At 38.3% G+C, this 16,406-nt stretch overlaps 1 protein-coding gene across 12 annotated transcripts in view; it reads right to left on the reverse strand.

Annotated features, from left to right (window-relative positions):
- CAB39L (calcium binding protein 39 like) overlaps window positions 1–16,406 on the reverse strand; it is a 135,415-nt gene that overhangs the window by 36,475 nt on the left and 82,534 nt on the right. For all 12 annotated transcript variants that reach the window (NM_001079670.3, NM_001287337.2, XM_047430698.1 and 9 more), the window contains 2 exons: window positions 14,590–14,708; window positions 5,620–5,788 (listed from right to left, as the gene is read on the reverse strand). In NM_001079670.3, the coding sequence (NP_001073138.1) occupies window positions 5,620–5,788; window positions 14,590–14,708 (288 nt within the window). The remainder of the gene's footprint in view (window positions 1–5,619; window positions 5,789–14,589; window positions 14,709–16,406) is intronic.

A 16,406-nucleotide genomic window follows, 5' to 3' on the forward strand; every position in this document is an offset into this window, starting at 1 on the left:
TATGAAAAATTTAATTAAAAACATAACAAGAATTTTAAAGTTTTCCAAAATAAATTCTTTTAATACATATTTAATTAAAATTTCCTAAAAGCATATAGAAGGTACACAACATAACTTCACAAAGAAAAGGCAGATAACAACCATAATAAAACCCACTTATTTCTACTTTAATTTTTTAAAAAGTAAAATATTTAAAGCATTGTGTACTATAATTTTCAAATTCAAAAATAATAAGAGTGGCTCTTAATTCCCTATTGCTATCACACAACTTGATCAACCACTGGGCCTATCAGTGGAAACATGGTGTTTTTCCCCCCCAGTGGAGCAGAGCATTCATTACCACTCTGGAACTGAAGTTCTAAAATGGAAAACCATTTACAGGGGTTCCGTTCCCACCCCGTCAAAGGTCTTGATTCAAACTAGTTCCTGCATCAGGGGACCCTTGAAAGAGTAAGGTAGTTCCACAAGATCCTTTGAGGTCCCTACTCTTTTTTTTAAAGGATAATATTGGTGTCATGCTTTCAAGCATCCCTCCCCTAACATCATAGAAACCCCATGAGCAGTAATAGAAATTTTCTGAGCTGAACCAGGGCAGAGGGAGCCCCCTCTATGGGCTGCAGCAGACACTGTGGATTGCTGCACCCATGGGAGTTCTCTACCTGCTTCAACTATCGTCAGCCTTGAAAGTGAGGACTGGGTTCCCCACACTGCAGGCCCAGCGCACACAGCCCCAGTGGCAACAAAAAGAGCAGGTTGCAGATCAGTGCTGCCTTGAAAGGTTGTGTCATACATTAGTGTTACCCCAAAGAAAAAGGGATCAGGAGGGAGTTAGGTTAAAACCAACACTTTCAAATTCCAAGGCAAGAAAACCTTGAAACAGCTTGAAAATCCAGTATTAGGAAACCATAATAGGGTGGGGTAGAATTCCTCCAGCATATATATATATGCTAGATATATATATATATATATATGCTAGATATATATATATATATATATATATCATGGATACAGCCAATAAACAATGCACACATTCCCTCTCTCACGCCCACATTTCCACTCCAGTGTGTAATGGGATTGATACATGGATATACCCTCAAATTTATGTACATAATAAATGTATATACAAACCACATATACATACACACAGGCTTATGTACACATAATACATAGACAAATATAATTGCTGCATTATAGATCACATAACTGAGTGAAAAAAAAAAAAAGAAACCACAAAAAAAACAGCTAGGATCCTACCCAAGAAGGAAAAGACAGAAAATTGTGAAGGAAAATAAAGTTCAAACTCCAAAGAATTTAGAATTTAAAAACCTTAATTCAAATAGTGTACTCTTTCATCCTACCTCCTAACAATTCTGTTTTGAGAGGCCTAAGTTTTGCATAGTATATTATGCTGAAAAATCTGATATCTATATTTTTAATGAATACTGCTTGAGAGAAACTTGGGGTAGAGTGAGAGAGACACTTAATTGCAGGGACATAAAAGGCTGAGGAGCCAGCGACAGCTGCCGTTTAGAGGGCTGACTGTGCTGGGGAGTGTACCGAGCACTTTGCAAATACGGTTTCTGATCTTCACAAGTCCGTGAAAAAGGGATGATTTTCTTCATTTCAGATGTGGAAAATAAAACTCAAAGGTTAACTAAATTGCTCAAGGACATCCAGCTTATCAGGTGGCAGAGAAAGACAGAATTCAAACCACTTCTATTATGGGAATTTTTAGAGGGAGGGATGAAAGAGATTATGGTTGTATGGAATCCTTTTTGGGAAAAGACTTTTGGTAGACAAATCTATGCCAAAATAAAAAACTAACAATGTTACAATATTAATAACTAAACTGAGCAACAGTCCCTTTAAGAGCTCAAAACCAAAAAGATTAGGAGGTTATAAAAAACCCAAAACCAATGCCAAAATCAAGTCAATCATCCAACCAAACAAAACCCTTTGAAACCAGCTACTTTAAAAAAAAAAGTGATTTATGGTCATTGTTACATTATATTAACCATAAGCATTTGGTAAAATAAAGAAAATTGGTGTTTCCAAAACTGACAGCATACTAGAAAACTTTTTATGATTATTTAGATTTTAAAGGATTGACTTAAATTCAATGGAAAATTGGCTTAAATACAAATCAAAACACCATTTATTTTTGTCATTCAATATTGTTGCTGAAAATTAAATTGGGCTGAATATATGACAGCAAGAAATTACTATCAAGTACATCTTATTCTATCAAATGTTTAAAAACCTTTGGGGAAATTTTCAGAAATACATATTAAGTATTTGCTTTCCTCCTCTATTGGCGTTTGTTCTATGTTTGTAATTATGTGAAGGCTTACTTTTTTTTAAAAAATGAATTTACTTGTTTCCATGACAGCGAAGAGCCATCTGATAGGAAAGGGGAAAAAAATGGGACTGTAGTGTCTATTATTAGCAAACACCTCCTTAGTAGTTTAGACACAGACATTTTGGTAGAAAGAAATGGAATCATCCTTTGTATTTAATGTCATTCTTCATGTTGGATGCAACCGAGGCCTATCTCACCACTAGCTCTAGATCCACCTTTTGAGGGGATCATCTCTAGCCGCTGTACAATTTTTGTCTTCCGGGGTGAGAAACAGCCACTCCTGGGATTTCCAACACTCGGAGCCCGGAGCCATGCTGCCCTCACCGCCCCTCCCTTCACCCAGCAGTCACTTCCAGGAGTCTGTTCCCAAGCCCTTCCTCCTTCTTTTCCTTCCTTCCTTCCCTCACTCGGCTGTTCTCCCGAGATTTCAGTTTCCTTACTCCAAGCTTCCCATTCTTCATACTCCGCCTCTCGTTAACTCCCCTTCTTCCCTTCCCCTTCTTTTCCTTGCCCTTTTCTGTCTACCCAGACCTCCCCTGTGGGCTCCTCCTCTCTTCCCTGTTTTCTTCAGGGAGACCATAGGACGCTGGCAGGCTGAATGGAGGCCTGTGGACACCCGAGCAGGCTGCAAACTCCTTCCCTTCAAACCCGGACGCTAGAGGCCTTGTGTTTGTTGCAGTTTTGCCTGAGGCTTTGGGGAAATGATGGCATTGCGGTTCCTTTCCTCTGATGTCTCGGGCAATTCAGTGCTTGTCCGAAACCCGCACACCCTCCTGCTTACGACAACAAAAGTGCCACAGTGGCCGGGCGCAGTGACTCACACCTGTAATCCTGGCACTTTGCAGGGGCCAAGGCAGGCGGATGGCTTGAGGTCAGGAGTTCGAGACCAGCCTGGCCAACATGGCAAAACCCCCTCTCTACTAAAAATGCAAAAATTAGCCGAGCATGGTGGTATGCGCCCGTGGTCCCAGCTACCTGGGAGGCTGAGGTGGGAGGATCACCTGAGCCTGGGAGGCTGAGGCTGCAATGAGCTGAGATTGCACCACTGCACTCCAGCCTAGGTGAGGGAGTGAGACCTTGTCTCAAAAAGTGCTGCAGTTAACTGGGCTTACCCTGCTCCTAGGCAGCTGTTAACAACCAGCTGCTGTTGCTTAAGCCTGCCCTGGAATCCACCCCCAGCCCACCCCAAGTGGCTTCCAAATATTCCCATCATTCTCAAACAGTATTCTCCCTCCAGAGTTCTTGTCAATTAAATTTTCCTTTGCATCCTGTATTTCCAGAGATGGCCTGGTTGCCTTTATAGATCGTGTGCCAGGCAGCTGCCAGGACTTGCCTCCCGCTTAACCACCCACCACTCTTTGGTCTTCTCCATCACAACAAATCTCTCTGACGGCCCAGCCTGCAGGCTCCGCCTCCAGGGAGACCACGCCCCGTCCCTCACCCTCCGCCAGGCATTCTTCTCCCTAAGTCCCAGCTTCCTTCTGCCCCACTGACATCTCCTACCCTTTACCACTCTCTGACACTCTCTCACACTTTGTGTCACCATGTGACCTAATATACCTTTCAACAGATTTATGGCACCTTCTCAGAACAGGCTGGGTAACTTCCTAGTCTGCAGATAATAGGTAGTTTTCAGCAGAGCAAACCACTGCTTTCCCCTTTTTCCACCTCTGGAGAGCTATTTAAAAGAACTATTTACCATCTAAGTCATAGGCAACTTTCAATCACTGTTCATAAAGTAATACGATTGGAGTATGTATTAATATTAGTATATGGACTATATCGATATTATTGAAATACATATTTAAGGTAATATATAAAAAATAAAAATTCATACATGGATTACAATTAAGTAAAACTTGTAAAAAAAAGTTACATACGTATATCCTGAAAAAAGTATAAATTAATTTGGAGTTATGTAAATAGAACAATTAAATTGCTAAAATGCTTTTGAAGAAATGAATCTGAATACATATATATATATATATATATATACATTTAAATGAGTCTTACCTACTTTTTAAACCTGAAAACCTATTTTTTTCAATGATGCTGTTACATTGTCAGTCTATAGTATTTTTTGAATTCCTCTTCTCAAACAGCTTCAGAGCTGATTTGGTAGACATTGAAGAAAATCATATCTATTTTATTTCTATTTATATCTTAAAATTAGTTTTCTTATAATTATTATCCCTCCCCAAATAATTCTAGCTAACTTGATCACCCACTTTATACACTAACCGGAATGTCAAATAGGCTTTTGTTTCCAAAACTTTTATCTGCCCTTGAATGATAAAAGTTTGCCATTATTGAAAAATGAGCATGTAATACACATTGATACCAACTTCAAAATATGTTAAATAATAGCAGGATCATAAGCCTAAGTAACTGGTTTTCTAAAATAGAAATCTCGAATGTAACATCACTCATTAGATGACTAAGTTTTGGTATGTTTGTCTGCAAATTAGCTGCACTCTTTTCTGATATATTCTCTGAACATTTTTTTGATGATAAAATACAGAAACCAAAAGTAAAATGATTGTCAGGGGCTGGAGGGAGGAGGAAATGGGGAGTTATTATTTAATAAGTATAGAGGTAGAGTTTGAATTTTTCAAAATAAAAAAGTTCTGGTAGTTGGTTGCCTAACAATGTGAATATATTGCATCCTACGATTTCCTACATAGTGACAAAGTAGATAATACATGATCAAACTATAGATGATTATGAAACAACGACAATATAATTTCTTACTATTTTGTTTCACCATGTGGACATTTAAAAATTTCATTCATAAAATAACATGATGTCCTTCATATTCAAAGATGTAATTCTCCATCTCCCTTCACTACCTAGTTCCTTTCCCCAGAATTAATCACTGTTGCTGTTTCCTATGCATCCTTGCAGAGGTATTCAGTGCATATGTACCTTAAGTGGAAGCTTATGCCCTTTAATCTGTTTTTAACATAAATGACAGCATGCCACACACAGAGCACTACATATTCCTTTCCCACGTAACTGTATATACTGGAATTCACTCCATTTGAGCTTGTGACAAATATTTTGAGTTGTTTTCCTGCAATAGGACAGACTGGCCTCATAGACTGCATTCTATTTACAGATTCCTCTTATGATCCACATCATACATGGTTGGCTACACTGAGGCCTAAGAAGTAAAATTTCTTGCTTTTTAAAATTAAATTGCCTCTTCAGGGGCCAAGTGACTATAAATTGACCTAGCTGAGTTGGAAAAAAAAAATTACCTTGAAAGTAGCAAAGGCATCTGAAGCAATATCAAATGTTGACAACTCCACGTACTTAAAGAAATCTCTGAATTGATTAGAAAAGAGGATGATTTTGGCAAGTGGTTCATGTCGAATACATTCTCTCAGCATAATCCCACAACGTAAGGCAATCTGTGGGGCTTCATATCTAAAGCGTAAACAAGAGAGAAATAGAGAACTCTGTTATCCTATTAAAATAATATTAATGGCATCAAAAGAACCATTTCAATACTGCTATTAATGGAAGCATACATACCATTTGTCACGATTCATTCAATATCCACTGAAGATCTACTATGTGCCTGGCACTATTGCAGACGTATTCTGGAATTTGAGTGTATTCTGAAACACTTAGATATACTCAAATATGAACATGGTGACAGCTGGGGGTGGGGGGATGAGGCAGAATGTAAACAATGAAAAGATAATTTCATACACTGAGAAGGGCTGTAAAAACTGTTGACAATAAAATACGCCACATTATAAAGGTGACTAAATTGTGTGTGTGTGTGTGTGTGTGTGTGTGTGTGTGTGAGTGACTACTTAAGTTACTTTACTTTAGACTCAAGGAAAAGGCAAAATGTTCCAGGCAAAGGGAAAAAACTGTTCAAAGGCTCCATGGCAAGAACAGGCTTGGCGAAACAGAGAAGGAGGAATAAAGCCTGTGTGATTCGATTGTAGAGGAAGAACCGTGAGTGGTGTGAAATGAGGCAGGGGTGGAGAGAAGGGCAGGGGCCAGATCCCAGATCAGATACAGCTTTGTCAGCCAAGGTAAGCAGTTGGTTTTATTTTAAGTGTAATGGGAAGCCTTTGGAGAGTTTAAAGCAAGAAATTGACAAGACTAACTTATGCTTTAAAAAGATCACTCTGGCTTCTTGTTGAGAATGTCTGTAAAACAGCAGGAGACATATAAGAACAGGAGCAGAACCCAGGAGAGGGAACGGGGGCTTGGCCTGGGGTGGCAGGAGCAGAACAGAGGACTGTGGGCAGGTGGTGGATACTGTTCGGAGGAAGAGTCAACAAGACTTGCTGATGATGTAGCTGGAGTTGGGTGAGGGAATAAATTTGGAAACTGAGAATTCACGAATGATTCCTATGTTTTTGGCTTGAATCACTGGGTAGATGGTGGTGCTATTTATTAAGATGAATAAACTAGTAGAGGAACAAGTTAGTAAAGAAATTAAGAGTTTGTGGTTGACCACATTAGTTTTGAGATGGCTGATATCTAAGTAGAAAGGTCTCCTTGGCAGTATGATACACTTATCTGGACTTTAGGAAAAAGATAGGAGAGACCTATATAAATATATGATTTGCATGCAGTAGGTGGCTAATACATAGCTGTGGACTGATTGACTCACTTAAATCCTAAGTGGAATCATGGCTCACAGCAAAAAATATGCTAGACAAACGAAACGTCTACTGTGGGAAACAATTCAGGACTGGCATACCAGATTGGTTCCATTTCTAATACAACAACAATCTCTCAAAGTCAAATTCAGTCTCTAAGTAAGTTTAAGATATATTCCAGTGTGTGATAAGATTTCAAGAAAATGAATAATGCTTAGCCCAAGTACAACAAGCCCTGTATTGAAATAATACAGTTGACAATTGTGTGGTAAATATAGGAAGAATAGAACAAAGAAAGATATAGTTGTGATACACTGGGAAGTGAGCAGAATATAGGGCCCCCTCCAAAAAAAAAAATCTGGTGGGGCGTGACTGCTCACTCCTGTACTCCCAGCACTTTGGGAGGCTGAGGTGGATGGACTGCTTATGCTCAGGAGTTCGAGACCAGCCTGGGCAACATGGCTGACTTTACAAAAAATAAAAAAATAAAAAATTTAGCTGAGACCCTGACTTTACAAAAACTAAAAAAATTAGCTGGACATGGTGGCACACGCCTGTAGTCCCAGCTACTCAGGAGGCTGAGGTGGGAGATTGCTTGACCCTGGAAAGTTAAGCGAGACTCTGTCTCCAAAAATAAAAATAAAATAAAATAAAATCTGACCATATTTTTAAAGAGATATCATTGACCATTTCAACTGAATACTAGTTTTTATGGAACTTTTATGATACTATAAAACTTTAAGATATTTTATTACTCATCAACTACTAGTAACAACATTTGTTGAACAATAAGTAATGTACTACTCTTTATAAGATTATAGAATTTTCATGAAAGACAGATTCAAGAATAAAGATTCAATTGAGGAAATAGACTACTTTCCAATATCAAATTTACAAATATTAGTAGAAGAAACAGCAAACAAAGATACCAGGGTGGTATTTATTCATTTTTGTCCTGTTTATGCAGAATGATATTCACAAATATTGAGTATTCCCTGAATAACTCATAGTAACATTAAATGCTGATACATTCAGATAGTCATGATTCTTTGTAGAATATAAGGAATGCCAATTTATAGTGCTAGCAATTTCTCTTATTAGAAAAACCTGAAACTCAGCCTATTGGCTCACAAGGAACAGTTGTCAGGTGGGGTTTTATTAAAGATGTTGTAAAGAGGGGTATATGTTCTGAAATGTAAAGGAGAAAAGCACTGTCATTTATTGATAGAGTACTCAAGAGAGTATAAAATAAAGGCTGTTGGCCTAGAGAAAGAATCTAAGGGAAGGACAATTAAAATCCAGACTTATTGATCAGCAAGATATATGTGGATTTTTGTAATTTGGCCCTAACCTTAACTTTTCAGTTTCATCTCCCATCACATTCGTTATTTCCCTGGAGCCCCTCATTCCCTCAATTGGAATGCCCTTCTTACATTCCCACAACTCAGATGCTTCTCATCTCTCAAGGCTTAGTTCAAATGCCATCTCCTCCTTGAAGCCTTTCCTAATCACTACAATTCAGGATTATTCTTTCTGCCCTTCACACTCAAATAACAGCTTGTCTGTAATTTCTCTTTAACACTTTTTTCATTCTGTATTATGTTATACTGCAGTAAATTGCTATAGGTCTATTTTCTTCATTACAATCAATTTAATTGTTGGGGATATGTTTTACTTATCCTGTTACCTTCTCCTCTCCTCCCCTATCCCCATCTCCATTTGGTGTCTATGTCATTTATTGCTACTTTCTCCTGTCCCTACCCCAGTCTCCGAAGAGTGCCTATTATAATGTTTTTCACGAAGCATGCATATAATGAATTTAATGAACCTCAAACTGAAGAAATGTCTTAATACTAGAGTACTCTAATGAGAGTCAAACTCTGACGTATACAAAATATGCATCATCTCTGGCCAACATTTTCTCATTTCTTAATTCAATTTCCAAACTAAGACCATCTATAAAAAGTTTCCACTCTAACTTTTGGGTATAATTAGTTCTCTTTTTCCTTTCATTTCGTGAAGCTTATTGAAACCATCTGTGATGCACTGACAGTTTATTCTTGAGAATCAAAAGAATGTTTTTAAAAAACCAAGACTCCTCTGGGTCAGCACACTTGTCATTTCATCCCAGCAGTTTGACATCTGTCATTCTGAGATTACAACTTCTTAAATTCAGAAATACATAGGGATATACAGAGATATATAGGGAATTCTAATTCTCCTCAGTACTCTTTAAGTGATTTATAATTCACATAGATCATTTCTACCTGACTACCCTCTAGTATATTGACTTTTGATAGGTTATTGCTTACTATTTAAAGAAGTGCTCCAAAAGATAAGCTTAGGTTAAGTTTCAAATCCCACTAACATTAATATCCTTAGGTCTGTTAAAGAATCAATATGTATCCCACCTAATCTATTCTACTCATAGATAAGCTTCCTGATGGCAAGGATCCTGCCTAATTACTGCATTTTCCACAATGGCTAACCCATGGCAGGTCCCCAGTAAAGGTTAATCTGATGAATGCTGAATCACTATTTTATAGAACTGAATCTTATCTTCCCTCTTGATTTGTAATTTAGATCATATAGTCTGGACTATAATGAACTGTGTCAGTGTGGAGAAGGCACTATCTAGGCATGCCCATCAAATAATGACAGCATAATGAAAAGTCTCTCTCAAATTTAATGAAAGCCAAAATGTAAGAGCAATGGTCTCAGCTGGCAGTGAGCTACAGTAATCATTACACAGAAAATGGTCAGAAGAATGATCTTGTGCAAGAATATTTCAATTTAAGAACAAAGATTACATTATGTAAGGGGGAAAATGACTTTTGTGATTATTGCTGGAAGTAAACAAGGCCAGGAAATACCTGGAAAGCTTTTGTAAAATGCCATTCAACAAACACTTGGCCTCCTCAATATAGTCAAGAACGTATGTTTCTAATCTAGAAACATTTGCTGACTAAAAATAATGAGTTAGGCCAGGCATAGTGGCTCATGCATATAATCCCAGCACTTTGGGAGGCCAAGGCAGGAGGATTGCTTGAGCCCAGGAGTTTGAAACCAGCCTGGGCAACATAGTGGGACCCTGTTTCTACAAAAAAAAAAAAAAAATTAATTAGCTAAGTGTGGTGGCATGCACTTGTAGTCCCGGCTATTTGGGAGGCTGAGTCAGGAGGATCACTTGAGCCTAGGAGGTTGAGACTATAGTGAGCTGTGATCACAGCACTACCTTCTAGTATGGGCAACAAAGCAAGACCCTGTCTCGATAAATAAATAAAATAATGAGTTAGTTCTGTCCACCAAAAAGGCCTAGAAGCAATAACAATCCAATGTCAATGAGCACCCCTAGCAACCAGATTGTAGTCTCTAAGAACCATTTCTCTCTAAAAAGAACCAACATCCTTGGTAGAAATTTCAGGTCTTTGTCAGCAAATGTACAAGTTGGGTGGCATATCTCGTTACACCAGAAAGCAAAGAAGCTCTCAGAAACTATTTTAGTGATGTTAAGAGATATCACCTAGAAGGGGCCACAGATGGCCAATTGAGCATTAAAAAAACATGTGTAGAACTAAATAAGACATATAGAAAACATTAAATCCATTAGTTCATCAGATACTAGAAGAGTGTGTGTCTCTGTACATATATAAATATATATATATATTTATACACACACACATATATAAAGGCAGGGGGAGGGAGGGAAATAACTCATTAGACACCGATGAAAGTTCCTAGGATATCTTATTTTTCTCTAAAATGATAATTAAAAGAAAAGAATTGAGCATTTATTCTGCCTCTCTGGTATGAATTATACTTCAGAGTATTCTAACACCTGAAGCTGTGGTGGGTGAATGACAGTATTCTCTATAAAACTACTTTAGCCAATAAAAAATACAAAAGGAATGACAGAATTCAAAATTACCTTTTTGTCACCTCTAGCAAAATGACGGAATCAGGCAATGTTCATCAATGGATGGTAAAACAATTAAGTTTAAGGTTGATGGGAAACTTTATAGTGGATTAGACTGTCACCAACTGAACCCATTGCTCAGTCTTAGCATTACTAAAAGTACATCTCCTAATGTGATGAAATATGAACTACATAGCACCATCTACAAAATAACTGCCAAAATGAAACTGCTTAAAATTTTTTATAATAAACTTAAAAAAACAGGATAATTGGGAGAAATTTATGATTTTAACATCAGCCTTCTGGAACATAGTCCACTGGCCACAGTTCTTTATGGATCACTGAGAGCTGTTCAGTGACCTCATTCTCAAGTTCTCTCAGTACCCTGGAATGTCATTTGCCTGAGCCAGAAGACAAATTCATTTAGAGTGAGTAAGTCCTTATTTATAATCTTTTCATAGAACTTGGGCTCCAAATACATTTTACCATGTTTAATACCACATATCCAGATAATTCTCTTTGATACACAAGTATCAATTGCTTTTTGTCTTATATTCTTTATGGTTAGACTTAGGTTCTATACAGAATGTTACTATCATACTCTCATTTATATTATTGTTTGATGTGTAAATGTACCAATCAAGTTATGCCCTAGGTTTTAAAGTGACTTCACAAGGATAATTCGGTAAAAATCCTGACTTTTAAGAAGGGCTAAATCTCTAGCATTCAGTGCTAAATTAGAAAATGGTAACAGGGGCTGGGTGCGGTAGCTCATGCCTGTAATTCCAGCATTTTGGGAGGCCGAGGCAGGCAGATCACAAGACCATCTGGCTAACATGGTGAAACCTCGTCTCTACTAAAAATAGAAAAAATTAGTGAGGCGTGGTGGCATGGGCCTGTAGTCCCAGCTACTCAGGAGGCTGAGGCAGGAGAATCGCTTGAACCTGGGAGGGAGAGGTTGCAGTGAGCCGAGATCACGCCACTGCACTCCAGCCTGGGCGACAGAGCGAGACTCCATCTCAAAAAAAAAAAAAAAGAAAATGGTAACAGGTAAAACTGATTATGGTACAACTGTTCCACTACCCTGTCCTCAGGAGCATCAACAATTCCCGCTCCCTTCACATTTGAACAGTCCTCGAATCTTCTTAAAGGTATATTAATGGTAAGGAACATGGGATTTAGTGTCAGATCTGCATGGAAAACTAGGCTCTGTCATGTATTAGCCATATAACCTTGAGCAATATCCTTACTCTCTCTGAGTTTCAGTTTCCTCATCTGTAAAATGGTAAAAAAATAATATGTAGTCCTCATAGTATTGGAAAGTAAACAACATAACATAAGTAAAGACATTACAACAGCTGGCACATAGCAAACAATGAGTAAATGGTTTATACAAAACAGGATGTGAAGGAATGAGTTAAAAGTTTGGGTTGAAAAACAGAAGAATAATCATTGCAATAGAGAATTAAAACCAGAGGTGTAGTCCCCAAATTGTCACTAATGATTTCGTTTGGAGAGATTATGGGATGTACTTTCTTTTTCTGTTCTACATTTCTAAAATGTTTTAGTTTTTAAATAATAACCATGTATTACTTTTGAATTGGAAAGAAATGGAAATGTTTTCAAATACGCATTCTCTTCATTCTCAGTATCTCCATTAAAGTTCTGATGATAATCTCTTCCCCAGACTCTTCCAAGCTGGAATCTCAGCCTCCCACCCCAAGCTATTTTCTATGTTGCCACCAGAACTCCTCATGTCTAGTCCCTGGATGACTCCATGTTGCCTACAGAATGACATTCAAACTCCCTAGTAGGACTTGGAAAGCTCTTCATCATCTGGTCTCAGTATTTCCAACTTCATACGGCACCCTTCCCTCTGACTCACACAGAACTCTAGTCACACCAGAATTCTTGTCATTCTCCAAACACATAAAATCTCTTATATACTTTCACCTTTCTGTGGGCCGAAATGGCAATGAACAAAGTGATCTTAGATAGCACATGCTGAAGATGACAGAACCCCCTGATGAACTAGAACATCTGCTCTGCACTATTACATGAGAAATATACTTATCTTGTTGTGGAGCCAATTCACTTTGGGGTCTATGTGTTATAGAAGCTTTGTATCCCCTAACTAATAGATGATACAAGGATCTTTCCCTTTCCAGAGCTGAAAGAAACAATTCTCCAGTAAAACAATTATTTTGTACCCAAAACAAAAGTAATCATAGTACACTACTTTGCTCACTAGTGAATAATAACTGTGCAATCATAATAATCTAAATGTGATTATTAAAATTTAAAATTATGATAAAGTTTATTAGGAAGATAAGGGAAAGGAAATAGAATAATGGTGGCAGTAAAAAGACTATCATCTAGTTTATCTTGTCAAAGATACTGCTTAAAATTGATAAGTGAAAAATTAGTATAAGCCCATTATTTGTAACACAGAGGTAAATATATGATGAAAACAATGATGAACAAATAAAAGAGATAAAAGTGGTTGTCTTTGGGTAATAGGACTGAAAAATAGAGAAGAAAGAGGCAAAGAGGCCAGGCGCAGTGGCTCACGCCTGTAATTCCAGCACTTTGGGAGTCTGAGGCAGGCAGATCACTTGAGGTCAGGAGGTCGAGACCAGCCTGGCCAAATAGTGAAAACCTGTCTCTACTAAAAATACAAAAATTAGCCATGCGTGGTGATGGGCACCTGTAATCCCAGCTACCCGGGAGGCTGAGGCAGGAGAACTGCTTGAACCCAGGAGGCAGAGGTTGCAGTGAGCCAAGATCGCATCACTGTACTCCAGCCTGGACAATAGAGCAAGACGCTGTCTCAAAAAAAAGAAAGAAAGAAAAGAAAAAAGAGACAAAGAACTGCTATTTATTGATATATCTGATTTTTAAACTATGTATTATTTTGATACAATTAAATATTTAAAATGTACAAGAGAGAAAATGAACACAGGTGAGATGGACTAGGTATGAAACAGCAGAATTGAAAACAGGAATACAATAAAATAAAGAGACGTCCTGGTTTGAGATGGTGGAGTAGAAAGACAAGGGGAGGAAGAAGATGGTCTGCTGTCCTCAAGCTTTGCTACACCTAGATCTCCAGTCTTTATGATTCAGAGTAGCCTCCAAATGCCCAAGAAACATTTATAAATAAGTATACATAAAAATAATAATCAGGGATTCTATCACCCACCTCGACTTCAGTTTTATGGCTTCCCTATAGACCCATATACATTCACCTTGGCAGATGCTAGCTACTGGAAAAACTCTCATACCTGTATTTCATTTCCCAGAACCAGAATATATATGTGTGTGCTTATGTGCGTGGTGAGGGCATTCAATCTCATGCAAGCAGGAAAAGGGTAAGTGGGCAGCTAGGAATAGGGCAGATAGGGAAGCATAAGCAATACTGTAATAGGAAGAGACAGAAATAGCAGAAATGTGGAGGAAAGGAAGGCAGTAAATGGAAACATAACATTTAGAAACATTAAGGTGCAAAGAAAGGATTTTGCTGCAGTAATCATAGAGACAGATCTGGAGGGCTGACCTCACACATGACAAATACCTTTACTGCAGTTCCAAAAGGGAACTCATCATATCTCAAATGAGACTAATGCTATGCACTTTTAACAACTATTAAAAACTTAGCCCTACTTGAAAGGAAGCCATGTACCTACCCTTTGAGGAGCATAAACAGGATATGAGGATGAGCACTAATATACTCCACAGTAGGACTCCGAGTGCCTATCTGTCTTCTCAAGATGTTGTTAAATATCTGGGTCACATCTTTTTTTCCCTGTTAAAGAAACAAACAGAAATTAAATTGTACACTCTAAATGGATGAATTGTATAGTATGTGGAATATATACATATATATATACACACAGACAGAAATGGTACCATCCTTTCTAATATGCAAAAAAACGTTAACTTACTCTTCCCATAGACCCCTAACAAGCTGTGCTTGCAAACACAGTCTACAAAATGGATGCAGCTCCTTGCCACAGGATGTGTGCTGGGGGAAATTTGACCAACGAGAAATCCATTTCCCACAGAGCATGGAAGGACATAAAGTGAATATGACAGAACTGAATTCTTTGTTTTTTCACTGTCTACCTTTATGCAAGAAAAAAATTATGATTATCATTTTTAAACCTTCATGAATAAGGAAGGAAAACAGAAGAAGAAAATAAGATTTTAGTAAAATGTAGGTTAGAACCAAATTCCTTTTTCTTAGATCTACTTTCTAGTATTTTTTGCTTTCACGTTATCACTTTATTCACTGTTCTTCACCCTAGTGCCTTGACTTAAAAAATAAAGTGGGTTTTCCATTAGCTGGAAATATTTGATCTAGGTGATCATAACAAATCACATCTAGCCTAGAGGAACAGAAGAGATCACCGAATCAGTGAGACAGAGGAACCAGATATGCAATCATGGATAGGGCTTCTTAGAGTCCTCATGGACAAGACCTGCACTCTCATACACCTTACAACCTGTCTAGCCTGGTTTTCCAAAAGAAATCTTGGACTGGACCTGAGTTTACTATATGAAAAATAAGTACAAGAATGACTGATATGGTTTGGCTCTGTGTCCTCACCCAGATCTCATTACGAATTGTAATCCCTATAATCCCTATGTGTGGAGGGCAGGACCTGGTGCGAGGTGATTGGATCATGGGGGTGGTTTCCCTCATGCTGTTCTCATGATAGTGAATCAGTTCTCACACGATCTGATGGTCTTATATGGGACTCTTTCCCCTTTGCTCATTCACTCTTCCTTCTCCTGCTGCCATGTGAAGGTCTGTGCCTGCTTCCCCTTCCGCCATGATTGTAAGTTTCCTGAGGCCTCCCCAGCAATGTGGAACTGTGACTCAATTAAACCCCTTTCCTTTTTAAATTACTCAGTCTCAAGTATTTCCTTATAGCAGTGTGAGAACATACTAATACAATGACATTGCATTCTCAATCAGTATGGCCCTAGTTCTGGCCTTCATCTCTCAACTAAACTATGAAAGAGCTTGCTTCAGTTACTGTCTCCACTTCAAAGCATCCTCACCCTGCAGAGTGAGCTAGCTAGAAATGCAAATATGACCATGCCATCTCTCTCCTTAAACACTTCAACGTCTCCCTTTTGCTTAGAAAAAAGTCCAATACAAAAAGGCCAGGCGCAGTGGCTCACGCCTGTAATCCCAGCACTTTGGGAGGCCAAGTGGGGCAGATCAAGAGGTCAGGAGTTCAAGACTAGCCTGGCCAATATGGTGAAACCCCATCTCTAGTAAAAATACAAAAATTAACCGGCTGTGGTGGTGTGCACCTGTAGTCCCAGCTACTTGGGAGGCTGAGGTAGAAGAATTGCTTGAACCCGGGAGGCAGAGGTTGCAGTGAACCGAGATCGTGCCACTGCACTCCAGCCCAGGCAATGGAGCAAGACTTCATCTCAAAAAAAAAAAAAAAAAAAAAAAGAGACAGAAAGAAAGGAAAGAGAGAGAGAG

This window comes from Homo sapiens, chromosome 13 (genome assembly GCF_000001405.40).
Source record: "Homo sapiens chromosome 13, GRCh38.p14 Primary Assembly".
Taxonomy (NCBI): domain Eukaryota; kingdom Metazoa; phylum Chordata; class Mammalia; order Primates; family Hominidae; genus Homo; species Homo sapiens.